This window comes from Homo sapiens, chromosome X (genome assembly GCF_000001405.40).
Source record: "Homo sapiens chromosome X, GRCh38.p14 Primary Assembly".
Lineage (NCBI taxonomy): Eukaryota > Metazoa > Chordata > Mammalia > Primates > Hominidae > Homo > Homo sapiens.
In genome coordinates, this window is record NC_000023.11 from 64,347,005 (window position 1) to 64,359,669 (window position 12,665).

Consider the following 12,665-nt stretch of genomic DNA (forward strand, 5'->3'; position numbering starts at 1 on the left):
TATTATCCCCATAAGAAAACAGGCTCAGAGAGATGAACCAATTTGCCCAAGATGATATGGATAAAGGCTGAAAGCAGGATTTGACCTCAGGTTTGACTGACTCCTAGAACAAAATTTTGTCAGTATAATATAGTTCCTACTAAAAGTACGGATCTAGCCATCCAGAAGAGAGGGAATGCCAGATATTTCTAGGCCTGTCTTAATTTGCTCAAATTGGAGAGAGGAAAATGGAACCTGTTAAAAAAAAGGGGGCTTTTTGGTGTTAGATTTGAACAAAAGGCACCAACTCTTTTGTTTCTTCAAAAGCTTGGTGTATTTCTCTTTACTATTTTAAGATTATTTAATTTTTAAAGATACAGACTCGATTAAACTCTTTTCAATTGCAGAATTTCAGATGCAGTTATGGCTGAAACAAGACAGCAAGCTTCTGAGAAACTGAAGGATGGGCCTGAACAGAAAGGGAAATTATTTTCTCTCCTGAGCTCAGTCAGTCCTAGGTAGCTCTGGAGAATAGCCACTGAGGGATCACAAAGATGGGGCAGAAAGCTGTCTAAGGCAACTATCTGGTTTCATGTACATCCAACTGCTCAACTCTTAAGTCACAACCATCTGGCTTAGGCTTAGATGAAAATCACCAATTTAGTAATGACTAGAATCAGCAATGAAACCTCTTAGTCAGTCACACTTTACATACCAAATTATAAGCAAAATTATTTCTTTCTGGGGCTGTTTGTAAAAAGGACAACATTTAAGAATATGGAATCTATCCTTTACTTCTTTTGTGGGACACAATGAGTTCTTCTACAGCCCATATAGAGCCACACAAAACTTTGAAGGTTAAGGAATTAATGCAGAGAGGAGTTTAAGCTGATACTTAGGTTAACATGAGGACACTCTGTTCAGCAATGTTCATATTTGAAAGAGACAAAGCCTGAGAAAACACATTGCAACAAATCATGCAGCATTAGATTATTGGAAAGATCAAAGGATTTGACTAGGTCTATCCATGTCCACTGCCAAAATCCACGGCAAATTTATGAACTTGGTCTTTTTAATTCTCTGGGACGAAGATTTAAACTGCACTGTACTAAACCGGCAAAAATTTAATCAGCTAACAGTACTAGATGCTAAAAAAGAATTACTGCCATATGAGCTAAAGATTTTTTGTTAATTGCATAGCAGTAAAATTTGTGAACCCTGGTGCTTTGGGAGAACCAAAGTATTATTAAATTACTGTGGCCTAACACATTTATAGAAAAAAAAAAAACATGTTGGTTGTAGTAAGTTTCCAATGTCTAAGTTGAAGCTCTTTCTCTAACAGTAAATCTAGACCACAGAATGGGAATACTGAAAATTCTGGTTAAGGAACAGACTTGGTAAAAAAGATGAGGGATGTTAAGGAGCCTTCTATGCAGGACGTCACACTGAGGTGGGAAAGACAGGTTGCTTGAAATACCCTCTCATAACCTCACTTGACAGTGGCAACCTTATAAAAGGAGCCCCAAATGGCTTCCTGAAATGATTTTACACAATGTCTGACATAATAAACACACATACACAAACCTAACTTTCCCAATAACACTGCATGTCTCAATATATGAGGAGGTAGAATGCAAGAGGCAGAAATATCAAAGAAATCACTGAGAAATAGATACCTTTGGTCTTGTGTCTACAACATACATAAACTGGCTCCCTGGGTTTGTTTGGCTAATGGCCTCCAACAAGAGCTCATCATCTACACAGCGAGTGTAAAATCCAGAGAGAGGCTGGCTACAGCGGCAAATGGCAGCCTGTAAGGAAAAGGTGTGTCAGTTGAGTGATTATATTCACAAATGGTCAAAAATCTTTCTTGACCCTTGCCAGGTTCCATGAGTAGAGGGAGAGGATGAGCCAACTTAAGATAGTGTCCAAAGCAAAGAGAAATGTGACTCTAAAGTCATTCTCCACTGACATTGGGCTTAACCTCCTGCCTACCCTGGGCATGTGGCTCTAATTTCCAACCCAGTCTTGGTAAATCAGACTACAAAAAAAATCACATCATGAGTATTTCCTTAGTGAAATTCTATTCTCGATATATAATGGGCTATTTTTCTGAAACCGCCTCACTTTTTACAGTCCCAGTAATATTGCCCACATAAACCATAAGCTTGCGGAGGCAGCAGAATTCAAGATAGAGCAAAGATCTACAGCGTCTTAAGAAAACAGGGTTCACTAGTTTCAGAAGTTAATGCCAAATCAGAAGGGTGGTTTGTTTCAAGCCACTTTAACACAAAAACAACGTAACTATTTAACATGAATGTCTGGTAATGATTAGTTCATGAAATTCGTTACACTTTGATGTGGCTTTTAAGGGGTCAACTCACTTCAATAATATGACACCCAATTGCATTACTATACTCCTTAGCACTTGAACGGTTGCCCACCTGACAACTTGCCTATTTGTCTAACCCCAGATCTCAGAGTGATTACAAGAGGTGATAAATATTATCACTTCCTACATAAGTAAGGGGATTGAAACACAGAGGAGTCAAGTGCTTTCTTACTACTACCTGAAATTATATGAAAAGCACTAAGAAAGTATCAAGGATATCTGTATTCTACTGGGAGGCCACAGCCCCCAAAAAATCCTGTATACAACTAATTTTCTGTCATTTCACAACTTTCCACAAAGCTGGATCCCACAGAAAAGGAAAAAAAGAAAAAGAAATAAACATACTAAAATGACACTTAACATCTGCATAACATTTTACAATTTACAAAGTACATTGTACATATTATTCCTACTGAGATCCTCTCAAAAACCTTCAGAAGTATGAAAGTCCAGAGAAGTTAAGTAACTTGCCTGAGGTCACACAGCTACTAAGTGGCAGCATGAAACTTAAAACAGGTCTTCCAGAGCCATGTTTAATTATCATTAGAGAAATCTGCTTAACTTACATTGTTCTCTTTGTAGAGGTAGGAGAGCACAGGGACACGTTCTTTACTTCTGAACTTTGAACTTCCAACCACCGTTCCCAAGGTAACAGATTTAGGAACCACTATTTCAGGAGGGTAGGTGCTGCATATCTAAAAGAAAATAAGCACAATATATATAAATATATATTTATACATTTATATATAACTGTCTCTTTGGAAATACGTATTTTGGTAACCACTAAAAGCTGATAAACTTGAGAAAATATGTCAGTCTTTTCATAGAGTAAGTCACACCTAAAATGTCAACACCTCCACCCCAAGACTAGTGTTTTAAAGGCCGTCCAGATATGAATACTAGGAACCTAGTATGTAGTTTATGAAAGAGTACATCATATTTCCTCCTCCTCTACCTGTCTGCTTCATATTTGTGTCCGTTCATATTAATTCACTTGTTTACAGTTATTGTTTTTGCTCTGATATGCACACGTAGGAATTTCAACATGGGGTTTTATGTGTGTTTCTGTCTATGATTTTTGTTTTTCTAATTCTAAAAGTACATTTTGTTCTTATATGTCTCAATCCCTTCCTTTCTAGAAAATAATAGCACACTTGGAAAAGCTTTTATACCAAGGATATTTTCATTTCTATTTCTGAGGAATAGATGATTAAATACCAGCTAGCTAATGCTTGAGTGATTGCTAATTCCAGCCTGTTGCTAGCAAGTGAAAAATGTATATATATAAACTGCATACTAGGTTCCTAGTGTTCATATCTGGACGGCCTTTAAACCACTAGTCTGGGGGTTGGAGGTGTTGACATTTTAGGTGTGACTTACTCTATGAAAAGACTGACATATTTTCTCAAGTTTATCAGCTTTTAGTGGTTACCAAAATACATATTTCCAAAGAGACAGTGACAAAATATTATAACACCACAGACCTGACATTGCAAAATTAATTCTAATCACTCCCCTAACTAAAGAACACCCCCAAACATTTAACAACAGATGAAACAAATATAAACTGAACAGGCAAAAATAAAAAAAGTTAAAGGTAGATAAGATTAAGAATGCTCTATGTAACTCATTAAAGTCAATGTCCCCAGAATGCAGACCATTTGAAAATGTTTTCTACCCACCCCCTTACCTGGACTTAAACTTTGGAGAAGACAGTCATACAAAGAAAAATAAATGGAGCTCCCCATTCAGCTTAGAAGGTTATACACATCAAAAAGACCAACAAGAGTATTTCAGACCTTCTTTGGGAGACTCAGACACACATTTGAGGTGGACAGATTTCACCCCCAATCTCTACTTATTCCTCTCAAGCATGACCCTAACAAGCCACCTCACAGATGACCCTGCGAAGTCACAGCTCATCAATCCCCATACCTAGTAGACATTCAAAGCTATGTTACCAGAAAGTCAATGCAATAACAGTCTTATTATGATAGTAAAAACACTGTTAAAGATGAACGATTCAGGAATATCACTTAAACACCAATGACTCTCTCTGCAGAAAAATTATCCTAGCAGGCCTGATTGCTACCTGTGTTAGAGTTCTCTAGAGGGACAGAACTAATAGGATATATGTATATAGGAAAGGGAGTTTATTAAGGAGAATTGACTCATACAATCAAAAGGTAAAGTCCCACAGTAGGCCGTCTGCAAGTTGAGGAGCAAGAAAGCCAGTAGTGGATCATTCCGAGTCCCAAAACCTCTAAAGTAGGGAAGCCAACAGAGCAGCCTTCAGTTTGTGGCTGAAGGCCCGAGAGCCCCTGGCAAACCACTAGTGTAAGTCCAAGAATCCAAAAGCTGAAGTACTTGAAGTCTGATGTTCGAGGGCAGGAAGCATTTAGCATGGGAGAAAGATGAAGACTGGAAGATTCAGCAAGTCTGCTCATTCCACCTTCTTCTGCCTGCTTTTTCTAGCTGCACTGGCAGCTGAGGGAATGGTGCCCACCCAGATTAAGGGTGGGTCTGCCTCTCCCAGTCCACTGACTCAAAGGTTAATCTCCCCTCTAGTAACAGCCTCACAGACACACCCAGAAACAATACTTTGCATACTTCAATCCAATCAAATTGACAATATTAACCATCAGACTACCCTTAGAAAGGCCTACTTGCATTGTGCTTAAAACTGTTTGTACAAACAATGTGGCTTATCCTGAACACCTGCCTTCCTTCTGGACTTCTGGAATTCTGGCATACACTAAGCAGAACGTGCCTATGTGGGCAGGCTCCAATAGAATCCCTGAGCACTTTGCCTCTAATGAGCATCCTGGCAGACAACATTTCATAAGTGTTGTCACAATTTCTGCTGGAGGAATTCAGTGTGTCCTACGTCACTCTGCTGAGAGAGGACTCTGGAAGCTTGTTCCTGGTTTTGTTGACTTTGTCCCCTGAACCTTTTCCCTTTGCTGATTTTTGCTTTGGATCCTTTCACGGTAATAAATCACAGTCATAAGTATGACTATACACCGAGTCCTATGAATTTTCCTAGTAAATCACAAAACCTGAGGAACGGTCTTTGGGACCTTCAACACATTCCCAGATGTCCATATTTGGCCCAGAGCTCTTTCTTGAGATCCAAACCCAAATGCTTGAAATCAAATACTTGATATCTGTTTAATCACCTTGAAGTCAAGTGTAAAATTGAAGACACCATCTGCCCCTCTTCTTGTGGTCCTTATCTTTGTTAACATCACCACTACTCATTGGTCATCAAAGCCAAAACCAGGAAAGCTGGGATGCATATTAAATTCCTTCACTTTTCTAGCCACATTTGATCTGTCACCAGTTGCTTTCAATTCTACCACCTAAATATCTTTTAAAACCATCTCCTTTCCATCTACAGCCATTGCCTTAGTTCAGGTTCTCATAACTTCACATATCATTCTTCTGCATTCTTAGCTCCAGCAAACGAATTCTCCACACTAATAACAGTTATCCTTCTAAAACACAAATATATATATATATGTTCCTTTCAAGCGTAAATACTCTTGTGGCTCACAACTGTCTTCATGATAAAGTTCAAATTCCTTAATTTGGTCACGAAGCGCTTTATGATATGGCTTCACTTCCTGACCTCCTTCCTTCTCCCCCTGCATAAATTAGGAGAAATAATCCAGACATTTACAGTTCAGTCATTTTCAACAAAGGCACCAAGGACACATATTTGGGGGAAATAAGTCTCTTCAATAAATGGTTCTGGGAAAACTGGATGTCCATATGCAAAGAAACACTTTAGGATATTGGTCTGGGCAAAGACTTCTCGAGTAAGACCTCAAAAGCATATGCAGCCAACTAAAGCAAAAATAGGCAAATGGGTTAACACTGAGCCAAAAATCTCCATGGCAAAGGAAACAACCAACAAAGTGAAAAGACAACCCACAGAATAGGAGAAAATATTTGCAGATTACCCATCTGACAAGGGATTAATAACCAGAAAATATAAGGAGCCCAAGAAACTCAATAGAATGAAAACAAATAATCCAATTAAATATGGAGAAAGTATCTGAATAGACATTTCTCAAAAGAGGACACACAAATGACCAACAAGTATATGAAAAAATGCTCAACATCAATAATCATCAGAAAGATGCAAACCAAAACCACAATGAGATATCATTTCACCTGTTAAAATGGCTTTTATCAAAAAGGCAATAATGGATACTGGTGAGGATATGGAGAAAATGAAATCTTCATACACAATTGGTAGGAATGTAAATTAGTACAGCCACTATTGGCCAGGGGTGGTGGTTCACACCTATAATCCCAGCACTTTGAGAGGCCAAGGAGGGAGGATCGCTTGAGCCCAGGAGTTCAAGAATCCCATCTCTACAAAAAATGAAACAAATTCGCCAGGCATGGGTGTGGGTGCTTATGGTCCCAGCTACATGGGAGGCTGAGATGGGAGGACCACTTGAGCCCAAGAGATTGAGGCTACACTGAGCTATGGTCATGCCACTACACTCTACCTTGGGCAACAGAGTGAGGCCTTGTCTCAAAAAGAAAGAAAAGAAAACTGTGGTACATATGCACAATAGAATATAACTCAGTCACAAAAAAATGTAATCCTGTCATTTGCAACAACATGGATGGAACTGGGGGACATTATATTAAGTGAAATGAACAAAGCATAGAAAGACAAATATTGCATAATCTCATTCACATGTTGTAGGAGCAAAAAAAAAAAAAAAATGAACTCATGGAGACAGAGAGTAGAATGATGGTTACCAAAGGTTGGTAAGGGTAGTGGAGTGGGGGGGATAAAAAGAGGATCCTCAACGGGTACAAAAATACAGTTAGATAGAAGGAATAAGATCTAGTATTCAGTAGCAAAACAGGACGACTACAGATAACAATAATAAAATAACTGAAAATGGAATTGGAATGTTCCTAACACAAATAAATGATAAATACTTGTGGTGATGGATACCCCAATTACCCTGATCTGATCATTACATATTGTATGCCTGTATAAAAATATCACATGTACCCTATAAATATGTACAACTATTATATATCCATAATAATTAAAAATAAAAAATGTTAAAATAAATTAGCCTTCACAAGGCTACTCTGCAAAGCATCAGGTTGTTTCTGGCTTCCTTAGGCTGATTTTCATGCCCTGCACCTATGCTCCCATAACACCCTATGCTTTAGGCCATGAGATCTCTTACTCAGTGCCTATTGCACTGTAGGTACTCAATAAATGTCTGTTGAATGGCTGAATGTTGAATGGAAAGGAGAGAGAGATTATGAGTCATTTCTCTCTTTTTTCAAAATCTTGTTTCCTGATATTCTACCATCTTAATTAAATGCACCAAAAGGCAAACAACAAGGACAAAATTACCTCATAGTTTCTGTTGGCATCTGTTATGGTCCAGTTTCTGTTGGGTATTCCCATACGCCCAAAGTCTGATATTGGGTCAATCAGTTTCCATCCACTTTCCCTCATCTCTTTTGAGGATTTGGGATTATAAGAAAAAGCATAAAGATCTTCAGGTAATGCTGGAGAAGAGAGATAGGCATGGAAAACAAAATGATGAATGAAACCTAAAAATCATCAAACAATGCAAATAAAGGCTAGATTTCCTTTTCCTAAGGGAATGTTTGTCAAACAGCCCCAGAAAAGGACTGTGGTGTGTGCAAGTTTGCCTTTATGTAAGGAATAAAAACTGGAATATTGTTTGGGTTCTTTGAAAAAATGTTTTAATTTTTTGTGTTATCAATACGAAGTGGGATCTTTCTGCCTGGCTTCCTATAAAAAAAGAATGCTGGATAATTGACTGAACTGAGGCTTCAGGGTTTCACATGTTAAGAAAAGAGTCCTTACCAAAAGTTTTTAACTGGGCTCCCATGTCCTAATAGTACTGCTTATTGTAACATGTTGCACATCTTTAACAATGTTTTTGCATTGTACTTGTCAGACCAACAGCAACTTCTGACTTATAAATGGCCCCTTCCTCTCTTTTCTCTGTCAGTCCTGCTTCCTCCCTTCACGAGATACAGCATCCAATCAAATAACTCATTTGACCAATTTATATGGCAACAACTTCTCCAGAGATTAATGGAGCCTATCAGAGACTTGTAAAATGCTAGGCCATCCAGCAGGTAACTTTATCAATAAAAATCAGCAAATATTGAGGAATTACTCTGAGGGAAAAGGGGAAAAATGGGAGAGAAAATGTAAGAGCATGATTAAAATCAAAGACTAAAATCAGAGGAAGCTGGTTAATTGCCTAGGGGTGGGGGCTGGGGAATGAAAGGGTGATGCTGGAGGAAGCATTAAGTCCTACATTAATGAGGACTTTGATGAACTGCCTTAGTCTTCTAGTTGGAATTAAAAGTAGGGGTGGAAATCGTGGGCCAAACAAAAAGTCTGCAGGACAGCAGGAAACAAATTTTCTTCCAAAGCAGTCTTCCTTCCTGAACTGAGAAAACATTCACAAGTTGATACTTTAAAGGAGGGAAGGAGAGAGAAGAAAATATCTATTAAACATCTACTATATACTAATACATGAAGGTATTCAAGGCTCAAAACAATCCCCTTGAAGAGCTTTTACTCTCCTTACTTTTACAGGTAAAGAAAATGAGTTCAGAGGTTATATAACTTGCCCAAATATAATGGAGCTAATAAGTGGTACAGCCCAGATCCAAACCCTCCTCTGACTCCATAGCCCTGATCTTTCCATTATGCCATTTTGGAAAAATATTAAAATGGTTTTAGATAAAAATACTATCATAACTACCTGGCTGAGAAAGCTTGAGCAGTGAAATATAAACCTCATGGCACACAAGGTCAGAATCTAAAACAAAGTGGGCCACCCGGAAATTCTTGCAGCGGAGGGTCAGGGGACAACCCAGGCTAGTGATGGGTAACTTCTCCACAGTGGCAATGTGATGGAGTGCAATCTGAAAAACATAAAAGAACCAGCGTAAACATACAGATGTGCAATATCTCTATCACTATCAGTATTCCTGACTCTCCGTAATGGTAACAGCATGACCAGATCTGTAGGCTACATCTACAGCCTACAACCATTCTTTGTAAGACACAACTGGGGTTCTCTCAAATAGAACTAAAGCATAATAGTGGTAAAGCAACAAGAAGCAGACTGCAGTGTTAGAAAACTTCTCTCTCCTTAAGGATACGAGATTACCAAGTTTGTGGGACAATTTTGGTAGATCAGCTCAGAATAGATGACTTTTAGCATGCTGTGATAGAGTTCACAATCAGAATAATTGTTACAGAGGAAAACAGGAATTTTTTTTCTTATATCAAATTACTAATTAAGATAATTATTAATAGCAGGTATTGTGCCTTATCATAAACAAAGTAGTCCATGACCATTAGCTATTTAAGAAGAGCCATTTGACGTGTAATCATCCTATTTCAGGAATGAAAAAAAAACAAAGCTCTGAGAAGTGAATTCCTCATCAGATATCATATAGCCAAGAAGTGGCACAAACAGAATTTGAACCATAGCAGTCTAAACTTAAGTCCAGGATTAAGTTCTGGAATAAGGATTTAACTAGAAATGTTAGGGAGGAACTATTCCTCTACATTTTAAACTCTAGTGACAGTAAAGCAAAGAATGTAGGATGATTACTTCTGTTCATGCTGATGCCAGCAAAAAAAGAAATGCATGGAAAGGGAACTGATGAAACAAAATGTGTCCAAATAATATAATTCTCTCTTAATTGATTCAAAAAGCCATATAATCATGGTTTTGCATTTTGATCTTTGATGTTCTCCTCCTATCCCTGTCTTATGTTTCTGCAACTATGGAGCCTGGATGTGCTCTTTCCATTCTCTAGACTCCCTGTCCTGTGCCTGGAATGGTCTTCCAATCAATAGTGCCTTTTCTGCTCTCCCATCACCTCAATGCCCCAGTCCCTAATTTCTTTGGAAAAGTCATCTCTTCAATGAAGTCTTTCAATCATATCCACCATCTAAGAATGGAGCAAGTGTGGAAATGATTCAGATATTCCTAGGATAAATTTTCTATTTTTTTTAAGGCAGGGTCTCGCTCTGTTGCCTAGGCTAGAGTGCAGTGGCTTAATCATGACTCACTGCAGCCTCAACCTCCTGGGTTCAAAGGAGATCATCTTGCCTCAGCCTCCTGAGTAAGCTAGGAATACAGTTGTGTGCTACCATGCCTGGCTAATTTTTTTAACTTTTGTAGAGACTAGGTATTGCTTTGTTGCCCAAGCTGGTCTCAAACTCCTGGCTTCAAGCGATCCTTCTTCCTTAGCCTCCCAAACTGCTGGGATCACAGGTATAATTAAGTTCTATCTTAACTGTTTTGTCACACTCAAGTCCTGCAATGGCAGTTCTGGAGGCATCACAAAATGTAATATGAATTAATATATTCAACCTCAAGAAAATCAAAGATCTTCCAGTCAACATGAGAGATGTGTGTTTTGGTAGTACGATACTGATAATTGAGATCAGGGCCCAGGCAAACAATTGTGGTGAAACTGGGAAGGGTCCAGGGAAGGTAGGCAGACTAAGGCTGGGAAGAACTTCCCTAATTGGGTAAATAAGCCTCCTTTGACATGCAGAAATAAGTGTAAGTGCTCCCTTCCAGATACAGTCCACTGGGTTTGAAATAATACCCAAAAGGAACAAATCTGGAGACATCTGTACTGTCTATAAATGCAGGTAGATAGGAGATAGGCTTACGGCACAGTACTAAAGAACTGGTTCCTAAACTGTTAGAATTACAAGAATCCTTACTAATTATATAATCTAACCACCTCATTTTACAGATGAAGAAACAAGCCCAAGGAGTAAGAATCACTTGCCTAAGGTTACATAGCCAGTTAGCATCAGAGCTTAGTCTAGCCCAGTTCTCATTCCTCTTTTGACATTCTTATCACAGCAAAAGGAGCAAAATACAATCTCACATGGGGAAAGTTCAGTTTTAAAAGGAAGTATTAAGATACTTCTTTCATGTGCATACTCAATTCATTTTATACTTATATGATAGTATTTACCATGTTCCAGGCATTGTTGTAAGCACTTATAAACATTCACTTTATAATTCTTGTATCTTGACTTTTTAAAACTAATTCAAGGTATTATTTTATCTGTATTTTACAGAAGAAGGAAGCGAGACACAGAAAAGTTAAACAACTTGCCCAAGGTTACAAAAGTAGTAAATGTTGAAGCTGGGATTTCAACCTGAGCAGACTGGCTCTAAAGCTTTAATCACTAAGCTATGCGGTATAAAAGAAGCATGTTGTACTTCTTATAAATGGAGAGGTCTAAGCATAAATCTAACTAATGATTAAGTTAAGATTAAATTATGATCTTTAGGATGGGTAAGGCATAAAGTAATGTTGGGGTGCTGAATTAATTAGAAAACATTACTTACAGGTATAAAAAGAAACACATACACATGCCCGTGCATGCACACACACACACACACACACACACACACACACACATATATATATACCCAGGTAAAATCCTGTCTTAGGACAGAGAGATGGTCTAAATTAGTGTTGCCCAAGGTAAAGTCCATGAGGCCTTAGCATCAGCATAACCTGAGCCCTTTTTAGAAATTCAAAATCTTAGGCTTGAGATTTTGCATTTTTATCAAGTTCCCATACGCTACAGATGCTGCTGGTTCTTGAACTATATTTTATGGGCAGCAAGGCTTTAAATTACTTCAAGATGCTTACAAACATAGTTCAGAAAATTAGCAGAAACTATTCTACCTAAAAATAATTTAGCTAAACCCCAGGAATATTCCCATGTAGAATAAAATGACTATGATGACCAGAGCCAATAACTTGAAAAAAGAGGAGTAATACAATTCAGACCATAAAAAGATTATTAGAATAGGTCCTCTGAAGAAAAGGTTTTACAGCAATTTAAAAATTACACTTGAAATTTCAAGAAACTACCATATAGAGAGCATGTATGCACAACTCTTTAAGACTCTTTGATACTTCTTCTCATGAACATACCCATGTTTCTTTCCGGGCTGCACCTGAAGCCTCCACATAGATCAGGTGGGTTGCAGTAAGATAAAGAATCCCATTAGCTGGTTTCTTACTCACATAACGATCCACCAATTTCACGTTTTCTACCTGTTATTGGAGGAAAAAATACTGAATAAGTTACCAACTCACCACCTATGATTGAAGTGGGGCCATTCAAAGCAAGATAAACGCTGTTAATTTGCTACAAAACTCGAGTCTTTCCAGTTCCTGCCAAGGTGGCAAACTACTA

General features: G+C 38.1%; 1 protein-coding gene across 1 annotated transcript in view; it reads right to left on the bottom strand.

Annotated features, from left to right (window-relative positions):
• Positions 1-12,665, bottom strand: part of MTMR8 (myotubularin related protein 8) — a 127,372-nt gene that overhangs the window by 78,924 nt on the left and 35,783 nt on the right. Inside the window, exons 2-6 of the mRNA NM_017677.4 lie at positions 12,401-12,523; positions 9,172-9,334; positions 7,773-7,930; positions 2,938-3,066; positions 1,656-1,790 (exon numbers count right to left, since the gene is read on the bottom strand). Of these exons, the coding sequence (NP_060147.2) occupies positions 1,656-1,790; positions 2,938-3,066; positions 7,773-7,930; positions 9,172-9,334; positions 12,401-12,523 (708 nt within the window). The remainder of the gene's footprint in view (positions 1-1,655; positions 1,791-2,937; positions 3,067-7,772; positions 7,931-9,171; positions 9,335-12,400; positions 12,524-12,665) is intronic.